The sequence below is a fragment of the Homo sapiens genome, chromosome 15 (assembly GCF_000001405.40).
Source record: "Homo sapiens chromosome 15, GRCh38.p14 Primary Assembly".
NCBI lineage: Eukaryota > Metazoa > Chordata > Mammalia > Primates > Hominidae > Homo > Homo sapiens.
This window is the reverse complement of record NC_000015.10, coordinates 88,778,480-88,795,138: the sequence shown is the minus strand read 5'-3', so window position 1 is coordinate 88,795,138 and position 16,659 is coordinate 88,778,480.

Here is a 16,659-nt window from a genome sequence, read left to right as displayed (position 1 = left end):
GTGACGGCAGTGAGAGTGGACAGGAAGGGACAGGAATCACGGATGGCCTCGAACTTCCGAACCTGAATGATTGACAGAGGTGGAGTTGCTGCAACAGCAACAGGAAAGTGGGGAACTGGGAAGCAGCTGGCTTGGGGACAAAAGATGGAGCGGGAAGTGCTTGGCTTGGGGAGAAAAGACGGAAAGTTTAGTTGTAAACAAGTTGGGTTTTTAGAGGTAGAGGGACATCCAGGGGGAGGCAGCCAAATGGCAGAGAAATGTGGGTCTGGAATTCAGGGAACTTATTAACCTAAGATAAGAATGGAGCATTAAGCCAGGTGTGGTGACTCTCGCCTGTAATCCCAGCACTTTGGGAGGCCGAGGTGGGTGGGTTTCTTGAGCCCAGGAGTTGGAGACCAGCCTGGGCAACAGGGCAAACCCCATCTCTACAAAAAATACAAAAATTAGCCAGGCATGTTGGTGTGCGCCTGTAGTCCCAGCTATTCGGGGGTGCTGCGGTTGGAGAATTACTTGAGCTTGGGAGGTCAAGGCTTCAGTAAGCAGAAATCATGCTACTGCACTCCAGCCTGGATGACAGGGTAAGATTCTGCCTCAAAAAAAAAAAAAAAAAAAAAAAAAAGAAGAAGAATGGAGCATTAAATTGTATTCAACAAATGCTAAAATATATCTTAATTGCTTACTAATTAAGGGAGAAAATGGAAGCGGCAGAAAAGATGAAGAAAGGGCGGCTATTGGACAAAAATGTAAGGATGCTGAGAGAAACAGAGAGATCTAGAAACATAGGGAGGGAATGCCAGAGACCCTCACACACCCAAGAAAAGGTGCTGCGTGTGAGGAGGTTCTAGAGAAAAAGAAATAGAGACATTGTCAAGCCACGAACTTTCATCGGGCAGACAGCTGGAGTTTAATTGCATGACAGCTGCATCTTGTGGCTTCTAGGACTTTGTGGCCAATGAACTTCATAAACAGTTGCATTTTTGCAGCTCTGTGCATCAGTGAGGCTGGAGCTTCTTGGCGCTTACTCCCAGACCCAAGGACATGAGATCAACTACAAACTTGGGGATCAGGTCCACCCTGAAGTCCCATATCAAGTCAGAAGTCCAACCCCCTAAAAGTGACGCCAACCTTCCTGAGGATCCCCGGCTTAATAAGGGTCTTGTGTAGCCTGGTCTGGAATGTACAGGGCCGTTAGAGCCAGTTTAACCTTTGAAGGATGAAGGCAAAGAGAGGAGATATGTGTTGAAATTCCCTCAGCAGGAAGATACTTTCTTGTTACCCCTTCTTGCCTCCTGTTTTACACAGTTGGAGAAATAGCACCAATTTGTCCTGCTGTATTGCCTATAGAGTAAAACCCTCCACCAGGTTTAAGTTGTGTGTGTGTTAAAGAAACAGTAGGCATACAGCTGTCAAAGGGACACATACAATGTAATTAGGTAGCAAAAAATTGACAAATCAGAGTGACTTAAAGCCTCTTAAAACCCCATCTCTACAAAAAATACAAAAATTAGCCAGGCGTAGTGGCGCATGCCTGTAGTCCCAGCTATTCAGGGGGCTGAGGTGGGAGAATTATTTGAGCTTAGGAGGTTAAGGCTGCAGTAAGCAGAGATCATGCCTCTGCATCCCAGCCTGTGTGTCCAGAGTGAGATTCTGGACAGATATTGGACATTTTTGTCCAATAGCCTCCTTTTCTTCAGCTTTTCTGCCTCTTAAAGTCTTAATGAGCAAATACGTAAGAAAATTAATACCCAGCAAAACTCACTGATAAACTGGAGACAGATGGCAGATATGGAGTAGAGAATGGCTAGATTGGAGTGGGGCTAATCAGGTAAGGCTAAGAGAGCAAGAAAAGTCCATGAATTACTTGGGGCATAAATAAGTAGAAATGACACTGGAGGGGCAGAAGGGCTTCCTCCCAAAGCACTCCCAGTCTGAAAATCAGTTTTTCCCTGTGCCCAGGTGAGCTGGGTCTCACTCCCTGTCTGAATCTCACACGCATGCATTTTCTCCTTATCCCTGCCCCCTCTGCATGCCAAGGTTGGAAACGCGGCTTTTCCAGAGTCAAAAGTCAGAACACAAGGCACCTATTCACCCTGCTGGGTTTGAAATTCTCCTCCGAAATTCCTTTAGCGGCAACGCCTTCTCTCAAGTACTCTGTGCATCTTTTTAAATTTCAGACATAAACAGCGCCGTGGCCCCGCCTGGCAACCCCCTCTCACTCTCCTGATAAAAATAGAAAGGGCTGAGGTGGGGAAAGCCGTGGGCACAGTGGGGGTTTTGTGGATCAGCTGTTTGCACGAGTGTTCCTGACCCTCTTTGCCTATTTTGGGGAGGGGTGTCTCCGGGGGGAGCTTCGAGCTGGATTCCCGGAGGATTTGTCATCCCTGGCACCTTGGCCCTTCCATTCTGGACTTGAGACACATCTCTGTGGTTGTGTGTTTAACTCCGTGTCCCAGGGAGAAACACGTTTACCTGTGGTTATTGGCTTGGGTGTCAACTCCGGTAGTTGTGGGGGATGGAAACGGTGGGGAAGGAGCGCAGGGGAGTGTTGTTTGCACAAGCCATTGGCATGGAAACCTTTGCTGGACCCTCAATTGTGCATGGTGGTGTGAGTTTAAGTCAAGACAGGCACCACGACCCCGTGATCAGGTGAAGGGCTTTTGGAGAGTTCGTTCCTGCTGTACAGGAGAGGGTGAGAAGTAGTAAACTGGCAAGTTTGCTGAGCTGGGGCTGATGAGAGCTGTTGTAGTCCCAACCACATCATTTACCAGGGATTTGAGCTTGGGCCTCAGTTTCCTCTTCAGTGAAAGGAAAATTGCAGTATGCCCATTGAAAGATGTAAGATGAGATCCTGTCGCTTCTCTGCTTGTAACCACCTTGTGGATTGGGGTTGCACTGAGGACACCAACCATAAGGCCTGAGTGACCTGGCCCTGCCTGCCTCCCTCCCCTCATCTCCTTCATCTCCCTACCCATCTCCCTTGCACTTCCCCTTGCTCTTTTCCAGATAGCACCACCTCATCTTCACATTGTCCTTTAAATATCAGAAGGCTTCCCTGACCCACCCCCACCTCTCCTCTGCCTCCGTCAACCTCTGTTACAGTGCCTCCATCCCTCCTAGCCCAGATCAGTTTGCTATTCACTGGTTTACTGTCCTCCTCCCTCCCTCACCAGATTGTGAGCTTCATGAGGGCAGAGACACATGTGCCCAGCTCCCATCACAGTGGGTGACACATGCAGTCCCTCAATGAATATTTGTTGAATGAATGAATAGGTCTATTTTGTTCTCTTTGTGTGCCCTGTGTCTGGTACATTTAGATACTCTGTGGGTGAATCATAATAACTCACATGCACTGGGCACCATGCTAGGCGTTGTTCTAGCATACACTTTATGTCTAGCAACTCATTCAGTAACCATAGCAATGTGATGGTTTGTTAATACCCATCACAAATCACTCCTTTTTGGTTTTTTGTTTGTTTGTTTGTTTGTTTTGTTTTGTTTTGTTTTGAGACGGAGTCTCCCTCTGTCGCCCAGGCTGGAGTGCAGTGGCGCAATCTCAGCTCACTGTAATCTCTGCCTCCTGGGTTCAAGCAATTCTCTGTCTCAGCCTCCCGAGTAGCTGGGATTACAGGCGCCCGCCACCATGCCTGGCTACTTTTTGTATTTTTAGTAGAGACGAGGCTCTCTAAATGTTGGCCAGGCTGGGTCTCGAACTCCTGACCTCATGATCCACCCGCCTCAGCCTCCCAAAGTGCTGGGATTACAGGCGTGAGCCACCGGGCCCGGCCACATTGCTGTTTTATACAAAAAGTAAACAGAGGTCCAGAAAGGTGAAGCAGCTTGCTTAAGATCACACTGCTAGCAAGTGGCAGAGCTGAGACTCAACACCAGGCAATTCGGTTCCAGAACCTGTACCTTTAATCCCTCACCATCCTGCATGAGTCATGGAGTCAGTGAAGGAGAATGACTAGCTCATTGCAGGTCTCATAAACGTTCATTTATTTCTTCTCCCCTCCCTACTCACTTGATTGAAAAGATCAAGTTTGGTCTTTCTGAGATGTAGTAAAGATGAGGTAAAGTATATAATGGGAATGGGTAGGGAATGCATGGGAACTCCACGGGTGGATGGATGAGGTCTTAGTAATATTTAGCCAGCCTCTATCCATTAGGGGATGGTGGGGTTGGGAGCTGTTTCAATGACAGAAGAGAAGGATGATTCTATAGGCAAAGGCCATGGCCTGAGGCTTGAGCTCACAACGGTTGGGAGAAAGGAAGAAGGCTAGAAGCCACATTCTTCATGACATAGCAAGTTAGAGAGTTGATGGGAGAACTAGAGTCACACTAGGATTCACGGGGACATGAGGCTGAAGACAGTGCCCCAAGGGAGACTTCAGATGAAGACCCACAGGCAGGAGCTCTCCGTGGCCGAAGAGAAACCACGGAAGAGGCCAAGTTGGTCGTCTTTAGTTGAAGCAGGCAAGAAGTGCTAGTACTTTGGAGGCTGATGTCAGACACCAGTTCCTGTGTCACAGCTCAACTCCTGGGACTCCATGGACAAGCTGGGCTTTGCCTCCTATAGCAGTCTAACCCTCACCCTGACCCCCACTGGAATCCACTGAATCCCGAAGAGCTGGCATCTTAGGCTCAGAGAACATCATCCACTTGGAGTCCACACTGGTTTGGCTTCTGAGGCACCTTTCTCTTTTGTTGTGTTAGGACTGAGGCATGGCTTGGACCCAAAGTCAGAAGTAGGCGATAGGGAAATAAGGTTAGACGGGGTCCCTGGAATTGGGTGATACTGAACACGTGCAGCTCTGGTTGGCCTTTGACTCATATTCCAGTGAGGACAGGCTGGGTTATGCTGCAGTAATAACAGCCCCCAAATCTCAGTGACTTGAAATAACAAAGATGTCATTCTTGCCCATACTCATGGCCAAGAGAAAAGGCTGGGAGCTTTGCACCAGGTCAACATCATCCTCACTCCAGCACAGGCTGACTGGAGCAGCCACCATCTGGAACACTGCTGGTTGCCATGGCACAGGGAAAGAGAACTCTGGATGCTCATGCATCAGCAATTAAATGCTCCAGCCCAGAGGTGGCACATGACACTTCTGGTTAGAGCTCATTGGCTGGAACTAGCCATATGACTTCATCCAACTAATGTGGAAGAGAAAGTGCAATCCTATGTGTCATGTTAGTGAAAAGCTGAAATATTGTGAACAGCCTCAGTTGCTATCTCTAGTCAGTTTCCCAGTGGCGGAATAAGGTTTGGGCTCCACTTGGCTATTTCAGTCACTGGGTTCCCTTCTTTAGGGGTCCAAATATTCCCAGTGTATGTGAGGGTCATAATGGTGCACTGTGAGGCCTGGCTGACCCCATCACTGGGTCCCTGCTGCCAGAATAGCCCATCACACCCTGATGGGGGCCCTGGACCTTTGGTGGAGCCCCATTTAGTGCCCAGTTTGCCCATGGTCTAGGCAAAGAGAGGAGGGCAGCCTCCTTCCTGTGACTGTTCCACACCAGGGCTTAAGACATGTTCTAGTTCGAAATCTTTCAGTTAAGGTGGTGGGTTCAGGGAGCTTGCCAGGGTGAGGTTTCCTCCTAGTCCTAGGATTGTTAGCTCCTCAGAAAGCCCCATTCCTCCTTCCAGCTTTATTCCTTGTCTCCTGGGACCAGATATTGGAGACCACCAAGCTTTCCAAAAGGCAGAGGCATCACGAAGAGGTGGTTGTGAGCCTGCAGGCTGCAAACTTCGCATCTTGGGACCCTGTACAGGCATAACTACCCATCTAACCAATGGGGAGCTCTCCTCACTCCATGAGGATGGATGCGGGCAAAGAATGGAGAACCTCATTGTGAGAACAAAGAAACCCACCCAGAGGCATTCCTGGAGTACACAGGGCTCAACGTGCCGTTCATGGCTTGTAAATAGCTCTGGGAAGTCTGCCCTTCTTCATTTGGCAAAGGAGGGAGTGGTAGAGCTACTTACTGGGAGTTGGGGAAGAAAAAAGCTAAGAGATTCCAAGTTGTCTGTCTTATGCAAGGCACATGGGACCAAATCCAGGGACTTGTGCTGGGATCAGAGTCTGAGAAGGTTTAAATTGCTTCATTTTTGGTCCAGAGAGGCCCTGGGGCCTTGGCCTGGTTCCATCCTTGTGAGTTCAGGAGTTGAGTAGTGATGGCCTAGGGAGAGCCAGGGATGGGGAATGGAGGTGGGGCTGAGGAACCAGGTCATAGGAGAAGGCCTAACCACCAACAGTGTGCCTCTGCTGTGGAGGGCAGGGACCACCTGGAAAGCCCATAGAACTAGGTGGAACTTGATGGATATTTGAATTATGTCCAGATTCAGGCTATTATGAATAAAGCTGTTATGAACAAGCATGTGTGTGTGTATTTTTATTTCTCTTGGGTGATTGTTAGTTTATATGATAAGTATATCATATAAATATAGTACATATCCATATACTGTATTTCTGTAGAAGTTTAAGAGAAACCAGAGTCAGAAAAGACACAGAAGGGACCAAGGAATCGGGTCAAAGAGGTTGAGTCCTTGGAATTTGAATGTCTGGCTGGAGCTGTGGATTGGGATCTGGGGGTGGAATAGTCAAGAGAAGGGACAACCAGCCTGGTTCTCTGCAGAAGTAGCCTCCCCAGGGTGCCTTACTGAAGGCCAAGTCTTGTTTTTGGGGCTTTGCTGATGAAGAATCTAGGGAAGGGATTGGCATGGCCCAGCATGGGCAAAAGACAGAAAGACAGGAGGCAGGGAAGAATGCCTGGAGAGAGGCCATCCTAAGTGAGCTTGACTCAGATAGGGAGGACCAAGGGGAGGACAGAGGACTCAGGGAGGACCAAGAGGACATGAACAGGAGGCAGCTGGTGTTGACCGTTCCATGTGTCAAAATCCTGCTCCATCATCAGGGCCCAGCTCGAATGCTGTCCCATCCAGAGAGCTGTTGCCAGTCTCTGGGTCAAAATTCACCTTCCTCTGTGATTCTATACCTGTCAGTTCTTGTCATAGCTGCGTTGGGCTGGAGTGAGTTGTGGGCATGTCTTTCAACAGCCTGAACTTACAGTGGGCAGGACTTCACTGCAGGACATCCCCAGCTCTGCACCTGGCACTTGGCTATTTGTGGAACCAAAGGGAAGGCAGCAAGATGTGATGGGCCCTTTCTTCAACTTCCAGAGCACTCTTTCTCCCGTGAGGTTCCAGGACCACCTCCTGAACAGGCACCTGGGCTGTTTATTTAAAATGCACCCTAGACTTGTCAAATGGGACTTTCCAAGTTTGGTCCCCCAAATCTACATTTTTTTTTTGCTTTCTTTTAAAATGAATTATATTTGTGTATAATAAAATACACTCATTGTAAGGGTATAGTTTGATGAGTGTTGATAAACTTACACAGTCATGGAACCATCACCACCATCATAATATAGAGGACTTCCTTCCCACCAGAAAGTTCCCTGATGCCATTTTGCAGTCAGTCACCTCCACCTCCTTGGCCCCAGGCAACCACTGCCTTTTGTTACAGCAGATTAGTCTTATTCCTTCTAGAATTTCATGTAAATGATATCATTCAATGTAGTGAGTTGAATGGTGGCCCCGAAGATTATATGTCCTGTTCCTGGAATCTGTAAATGTCACCTTCTTTGAAAAAAGTGTCTTTGCAGGTGAAATTAAATTCAGGATTTTGAGATAAGGAGATAATTCTAGACTATCCAGGTGGGCCCTAAATGCCATCATTAGTGCCCTTATAAGAGAGAGGTAGAGGGAGGGTCAACACCACACACACAGAAAGGATAGGCTATGTAAAGATGGAGGTGGAGACTGGAGTGATGCAGCCACAAGCTAAGGAATGCCAAGGAAGGCTGCAGCCACCAGAAGTCGGAAGAGGCAAAGAACAGGTTCTCCTCCACAGCCTCCAGAAGCAATGTGGCCCTGCTGACACCTTGATTTTGGACTTCTGGCCTCTAGAATGGAGAGAATAAATTCCTGTTGTTTTTAGCCAATAACAGTGTGGTTGTCACAGCAGCCCCAGGAAGCTAATACATACTGTATGCATGTACTGTATTTCCTGCATCTAATTTCTTTTCCTCGGCTGGATTTTAATATTCTTCCATATTATATGTATCTATAGTTCATTTTTAAATTACTGAGTAGTATTTCATTGTATGGATATCACAATTCACTTACTGATTTCACCTGTTGATGGATATTTGAATTATGTCCAGATTCAGGCTATTATGAATAAAGCTGTTATGAACAAGTTGTGTGTGTGTGTGTGTGTGTATGTGTGTGTATTTTTATTTCTCTTTGGTGATTGTTGGTTTATATGATAAGTATATGTTTAATTTAATATTTTAGTAAGAAACTACCAAATAGTTTTCCAAAGCAATTGTACCATTTTGCATTTACTTCACGTTCTCAGCAATACTTGATTTTGTCAGTCTTTTAAATTTTGGTTACTTGAATGTATTGAGGATTTTGAGATGAGGAGATAATTCTAGACTATCCAGGTAGGCCCTAAATGCCATCATAAGTGCCCTTATGTGGTTTTAATTTCTTTTCCTAATGACTAATGGTGTTGAGCATCTTTTGGTGTACTTATTGGCCATTTGTATATCTTCTTATTGAAATATTTGTTAAAATCTTTTGCTAGCTGTGTGTGTGTTGGGGAGAGGGGGTACATTGCTTATCTTCTTGTTGATCTTTAAGAGCTCTTCTTATATTTTGGATACAAGTTCTTTATTGACTACGAGTATTGCAAATACTTTCTCTGAGTGTGTGGTTCTCCTTTTTATTTTCTTAATAGTGAATTTTAAAGAGAAGTCTTTAATTCTGATAACATTCAGACTTTCATCTATTTCCCTTTATAATTAGTGGGGTTTTTTGTTCCTACCTAGAAAATCAATGCCATAAAGATTTATTTTTGTGACATCAAGGTCACAAATTTTTTTCTGTTTTCTTTGAGAAGTTTTATAGTTTTTTGTGTTTAGGTCTATGACCCATTTTGAGTTACTTTTTGTGTTTGGTGTGAGGTAAGAGTTAAGGTTCTTTTTTTTGTTACAGATATTCAATTTTCTAGTACCATTTGTGGAAAAAATTAGCTCTTCCCCATTGAATTGCCTTGGCATCATCGTTGAAAATCAAGATATAGGTCTGTTTCTGGACTGTCTATTCTGTTCTATTAATGTCTATCCTTATACCAATAACACACTCTCTTGATTGTTGTAGGTTTGTATTTTATAGTTTGTCTCAAAATAAGTAGGGTAAGTTCTTTTCCAAAATTGTTTTGAACATATATTTGTATATAAATTTTTAAATTCGCTTAACAGTTTCTACAAAATGCCTTCTGAGATTTTGATTGGGATTGAGTTGAATACATTTGGGAAAATGGACATTTTAACAAATATGATATATCTCTCTATTTGTTTAGGTTTGTTTTTTAAAAAATTCTTAGCAGTGTTTTGAAGTTTTCAGAGTATAGACATATTGTATGACCTAAAATTTCAAATGTTGCCTTGATATCTTCAGCCTCACAGGGCCTCAAAGTCCTAACCATGAGTTCCCTTGCTCTACCAGCTATGCCTCCCACCCCACCCAGCAGGAAAGACTCCCTACCTGGCCAGCTTCCCCTGCTAGATCAGCCAGACCAGCTGCACCCCACCAGATCCTCAACCTAACAGGCTTCAGTTCCCTACCAGCCGGTGGACTTGTTCAAACAAATCAATCACATCCTCCTGTGGGGACCAGCGGGTATCTCATCTTCCTTGCTATAAAGCCTGCCTCCCACAGCCCCTGCTGGTTCTCTCTGATTCCAAGTGTCACCCCTGCATGCCCCTGCATGGCATGTGGTGTCCTTCTCTCCTGGGCTGTGAGTCTATATGACTAAAAAATTGCTGTCATCTCATCTGTTCAGTATTGGGTGTTGCGTGTTTAACCATCTCATACTTTTTTTTTTTTTTTTTGAGTTGGGGGTGATGAAGTCTCGCTCTGGGGGATGAAGCCCAGGCTGGAGTGCAGTGGTGCGATCTCGGCTCACTGCAAGCTCCACCTCCTGGGTTCACGCCATTCTCCTGCCTCAGCCTCCCGAGTAGCTGGGACTACAGGCACCCACCACCACGCCTGGCTAATTTTTTTGTATTTTTTAGTAGAGACGGGGTTTCACCATGTTAGCCAGGATGGTCTCGATCTCCTGACCTCATGATCCGCCTGCCTCAGCCTCCCAGAGTGCTGGGATTACAGGCGTGAGTCATCGCACCCGGCCCAACCATGTCATACTCTTTAGGGCCAGGGATCCTTCTCTCACTAACAGGGTAAATAGGAGGCAGTCAGAACAACAGTTCTTATCTGTCTTTTGTTAAATATATCCCTAAAAATATTTATTTTAAAACATTTTGGTAAAATATACATAGCATAAAGTTTATCATTTTGACCATTCTTAATGTACAGCCCAGTGGCAGCAAGTACATTCACATTGTTGTGAAACCATCACTATCATCCATCTCCAGAACTTTTTCTTGCAAAACCGAAACTCTATATTCATTAAACAATAACTCTCCATTCTTCCAGCCTCTGGCAACCACCATTCTACCTTTTGTCTGTGAATCTGACTCTCTAGCTACATCATGTTCATCTGTATTGTAGCATGTGTCAGAATCTTTTTCCTCAATAATATTCCATGGTATGTATGCACCACATTTTATTTATCCACTCATCTCTCAAAGGATCACATTTTTTTGATGCTATTGGATAGTATTACTTTTGAGATTTCTTTTTCCAAATCATTTGTTGCTTAGATCTGCATTTTTACTAAGCACCTCTGGTGATTCTTATGCCTGCTAAAGTAAGAGAACTTCTGATTGCAGAGCTGTGGTTCTTAATGAGAATATGATTAATAATACCCTAATGCAAGGGCCTCACCTTCAAAGCACCTGACTTAAAGTGTCCCAGTTAAGCCCGCAAACTTGTATATTTTGAAAAAACAAAACTTCCTAGGAGACTAAGAGCTGGTGATTCTTTGCTTAAGAACAGTGGACACATCTCCTATTTTCATTCATGTGTTCATTAGACACATAATGACAAACACTTCTGTTGGGCTCTGAGATACCACAGTCAACAGGGATTAGTAGAGTCAGGTAGATAAACCAATCGGCCATTGCAGCCCCAGGTGTGGGGCGCAGATGAGGGTTGGGAGAGCTTTAGGGGCAGAGTGGGTAAATTTTGTGGTCCTAGCTGTCATTATGGCTGCTGCAGTTTGTGGATCTAAGGGTGCCTCTCTTTGTCCTACAAACATCCCCATGAGACCTGGCTACACTCCCATGCTGGTTGGACTGTGAGCGTGAGGTTAAGACTGCATGTTAAGTCCCTACTGTTGTGAATTTACTGGCTTTGTCTTGGGACAGCCACTTCACACTGCCTCCAGATGCCCTGTCCCTAGTGGAAAGTTTTGGTGTCTGGAGGTACAGAGGTGGCAGCTCTGTGGGCTCTGTTGGAGTTCAGTGACCGCTGAGCTGTCCGCATAACTTGGTCTCAGTCCACCTTGCCCTGTTTGTTTGCCGTCTGGGTTGCTTCTCCTCATAGGATTGACTGTTCCTCATGCCCAATTTCACACCACACCTGAAGTCATTTGGCCTTTCTTCCCTGCCCTCCTTCACCTGATCAGTGCTTCTGGGAATGTTGTGCAGCGTGATTGCTCAAAATGTGCAAGCCCAGCTAAATGGCCAAAGCACCCAGGCCCGAGAGGTGTTAACCCAGCTCAGCTTTTGATGGCTTTCTTTCTGGCCTGGGCTAGAGCCTTGCAGTTCTGTAAGGAGAGGGGAACTTTGTTGTTCTCCTCCAAAATGGCCCAGAGACCCCTGAAACTGCCTTTTGGCCTTGGAAGTGGGTGTAGACTGAATGTTGGGAGAAGCAGCTGCTCCTGCTCAGAAACGGCCCTGAAATAGTGGTTCTCAGCCCTGGCTTGCACATACGCAACACCTGGAGAGCTTTTGGAGCCCTTGATGCCCCGGCTGCACCCCAGACCAGCTCAACCAGAATCTCTAGATGTGGGACCCAGGCTGCATGATTTTCAAAGCTCCCTAGGTGATTCCCACATGCTGCTAAGTTTGAGAGCGACTGTTCTAAAGAGGCCAACATCAGTGAGATGAGGTGAGGCAGAGTGGGAGGGTCTAAAACCAATCTTAGTAGTCTTGCCTTCCTGGAAAGAACATTTCTTTCTCCATTTCTTTTTCTGTGTTTAAAATTAGAGGGGTATCATTGCTTGCTTTAAATGTGTACTCCAGCCCTGACTGATACTCTTCCAGTGTTAGGTCCTAGGATCATCACCTTTGGGTGCAAAATATACTCCCTCAGGCAGGGGAACAGGATGCAGAGGGCATTGGATGTGTTTGGCTCTGTGCTTTCAGTGATCAGCACGCTGTCACGATGTTGCAGGATTGGTGACATCTGGTGGAACAGGGAAGTACACTGGACTGTGACTCGGGAAGTCTGGTTCTTCTGGGGGCACCACGCTGGAGGCTTTTCCTGTGCCCATCTCACCACTCACGGCCTGATTCTCACGTTGGGCTCATCCTCCTGAGTCCACACCACCCCACAAATTCCGAACGCAGGCACCCTGCTTTTTGACCACAGCCACTTCCCCTTCAGCCCACTTTTAGGCCCTATTCTATACCCTCATTGGGATCTCTGCCTTTTCCTATCTTTCAGCCCTCTCCTTCCCTCTTACCTAGACTATTATTCCAATAACACTTTCGCCAGCCCCCTGAACTCCTGCACTCCTCCTATATTTTGTAGGGAGATTTGAGGCTGTAGATTACAATTCTGCAACTTCCAAACCCACCTGTGCCCTCACTCATCCTCTCCTTCACCTTTCTGTTACCATAGTGGAGCCTCTGTCCTTCCCTCCCAGGCTAATTCTCCACCTCACTGGGGTGCCTCCACCTTCCCCTTCTGTGTAGTCTCAGAACCTCACACTCATGACCTCTCTCTCTTTTGTATATTCATCCACTGGCTCTCATCTCCATCATTCTATTGAAACAGCTCTGGCTGATGCTGCTTGTAACTTCTGAGTTACTAAATCTGATGGATTTTTCACTCTTTGTTTGCCTGCCCTCTTGACCTCTCAGCAGCATGAGGCACAGATGACCACTCCAAAGCTCCCTCCTTTGGCTCTCTCCCAGTTTCCCTTTAACTCCGTGCCCACTCTTCCTTAGTTGCTTTTGTGGACTCATTCTTTTCTCACAAGCCATTAAATATAGACATTTTCTAGGCTAGGTCCTAGGTGCCTTTATTTTTCTGTTCATAGCTATTTACACCCTGAATCTTAATTATTTTACTTTATTTTATTTTTTTGAGACAGTGTCTCGCTCTGTTGCCCAGGCTGGAGTGCAGTGGCATGGTCATAGCTCACTGCAGCCTCAACCTCCCCAGGCTCTGGTGATCCTCCCACCTCAGCCTCCTGAGTAGCTGGAACTATAGGCACACGCCACCATACCTGGCTAATATTTTCATAATTTTTGTAGAGATGGGGTTTTGCCATGTTGCCCAGGCTGATCTTGAATTTCTGTGCTCAAGGGATCTTCCCACCTTTGCCTCCCAAAGTGCTGGGATTACAGGCGTGAGCCACCATGCCCAGCCCTGAACACTAATAATTACTGAGTCCTAGGTTTTGCACATATTTCATCTCTAGTCTAGATATTTCTTTTGAGCTTCCTTTTGAGTTGGATAACTACTCCTTTGTCCTGTTTGTCTTTAAAATTGTGATAAAAATGTGAACATAAAATTTACCATCTTAACCATTTCTGAACATACAGTTCAGTAGTTTTAAGTATAGTCACAGTGTTGTGCGATCAATCTCCAGAACTTTTCCTCTTGCAAAATGGAAACTCTGTACCCATTAAGCAACATTTATTTCCCCCCACCGCTTTCCCCAGCCCCTGCAGCCACCACTCTATTTTCTCTATGAATCTGACTACCCTAGGTACTTCACATAAATGGAATCATAGAGTATTGGTCTTTTTGTGGCTGTCTTATGTCACTTAGCATGATGCCCTCAATGTTCATTCATGTTGTAGCATTTATCAGAATTTCTTTCCTTTTTAAGCTTAATAATATTCCATCATATTTATATACCACATTTGGTTATCCATTCATTAGTGGATAGACACTTGGGTTGCATCCACCTCTTGGCTATTATGAATAGTGCTGTTACGAATATGGGTAGGAAAATACCTCTTTGAGATCCTGCTTTTAATTATTTTGGATATTTACCCAGAAGTAGAGTTGCCGGGTCACATAGCAATTTTATCTTTACTTATTTGATAGCCATGCTGTTTTCCACAGCAGCTGCACCATTTCATATTCTCACCAACAGTGCACAAGCATTTCAGTTTCTTCACATCCTTGCTAACACTCGTTATTTTCTGTTTTTTGATTGTACCCATCCTAATGGGTGTGAGGTGACGTCTTAATGTAATTTTGATTTGCATTTCGCTAGTGATTAGTGACATCGAGCATCTTTTCATATGCTTGTTGGCCATTTGTTTATCTGTTTTGGAGAAATACCCATTCAAGTCTTTGCCCACTAAAAAAATTAGATTATCTGTTTTTTGTTGTTGTTGAGTTGTAGGAGTTCTTTATTTACTCTGGATATTAATCCCTTATCAGATATATGAGTTGCAAACGTTTTCTCCCATTCCATAGGTTGTCTTTTCACTCTGCTAATTGTATCCTTTGATGTTCAGAAGTGTTCAATTCTGATATAGTCTGATTTGTCTATTTTTACTTTTGTTGCCAATACTTTTGGTGTCGCATCCAGGGAATCCTTTCCAAGTCCAGTGTCATGAGGTTATTTTTCCCTACTTTTTCTTCTAAGAGTTTTATAGTTTCAGGTCTTAGGTATAGGTCTTTGATCTATATTGAGTTAATTTTTGTTTATAATTAGAAATATATAATTATTTTAATAATTTAATAATTATAAACTATTATAAAATAATTATTTTATAATAATAAACAAATATTTTGTTTATAATTACAAATATTTGTTTGTAATTACAAATACAACTTCATTCCTTTGTATGTGGATATCCAGTTTTTACAACACTGTGTGTTGAAGAGACTATCCTTTTGAATGGTCTTGGTGCCCTTGTCAAAAATCATTTGACCATATTTTTGAGGGTTTGTTTCTGGGCTCTTTATTCTATTCCATTGGTTCTATATGTCTGTCTTTTTTTTTTTTTTTTTTTTTTTGACATGGAGTCTTGCTCTGTGGCCCAGGCTGGAGTGCAATGGCGCGATCTCGGCTCATTGCAACCTCCACCTCCTGGGTTCAAGAGATTCTTCTGCCTCAGCCTCCCAAGTAGCTGAGATTACAGGCACCCACCATCACACCCAGCTAATTTTTTTGTATTATTACTAGAGACGAGGTTTCACCATGTTTGCCAGGCTGGTTTCAAACTCCTGACCTCAAGTGAGCCACCCTCCTTGGCCTCCCAAAGTGCTAGGATTACAGGTGTGAGCCACCGTGCCTGGCCTCTATATGTCTGTCTTTAGCCAGTTCCACACAGTTCTGATTACTACAGACTTGTGATAAGTTCCTCCTTGTCCTTTTCAAAAAATTTCGGTTTTTGTTGTTTTCACAGACGTGTGTGTGTTTGTATGTATCTGTGTGTGAATAAACTTTAAGGAGTTCATTATTTTTAATAATAACAATAACAATAAAGAAGGCCTTAATATCCTTCCTCCCAAATCAGATCTTGCCCCCCTCCATTTTTTTGCTCCCCAGAGGCAACTAGTTCAACTCTTCCATCTTTTTCATTTAAATTCATATCCATATATTTATATAATATGTACATAGTGATGCTTTTTGGTTTTTAGGTTTTACGCATTTTCTCTTCTCACTGTGTTAAAGTAGAAGATTCAGCTCTCTTTCACCAAAGGCCTTCAGTATGTGCACACTTTCTGTCCTCTTTCTTCTCCTGATAAAGTTAAACCATAATTGTGGATAGGTCAGTGTCCAGCATCACTATGACTATGTAAGTGTGTGTCACAGCTGAGCCATGTAGTACACTATCATATATTTACATTTCTTGCAGAACTTTCCCCCTTCAACTTAACAGTTCTTTTGTTTTTGTTTTTTGAGATGAAGTCTCACTCTGTCGCCCAGGCTGGAGTGTAGTGGCACGATCTCGGTTCACTGAAACCTCCATCTCCTGGGTTCAAGCAATTCTCCTGCCTCAGCCTCCCCAAATAGCTGAGACTACAGGTACTCACCACCACACCTGGCTAATTTTTGTATTTTTAGTAGAGATGGGGTTTTGCCATGTTGGCCAGGCTGGTCTCGAACTCCTGACCTCAGGTGATCTGCCTGCCTTGGCCTCCCAAAGTGCTGGGATTACAAGCGTGAGCCACCCAACCTGGCCTTAACAGTATTTTTATTTGTTTTCTGTGTAAGTATCATTAATTTAACCCCAGAGGGTGCCTGGTGAGCCCTCTTGGCTCAACCCTGCAGGCCATGAGGAAGCCTGTGGTTTGGAGATGGGTCATATGTCCTGAACAGGGCAGCTTCCTTCTCTGGGAGAAAACTTGGTCACAGGGAGGTGACTGAAAGTAACATCGCTGATGGAGCTCTTTCTACATGTAAGGTGCTGGGCTAGGGTGACAGG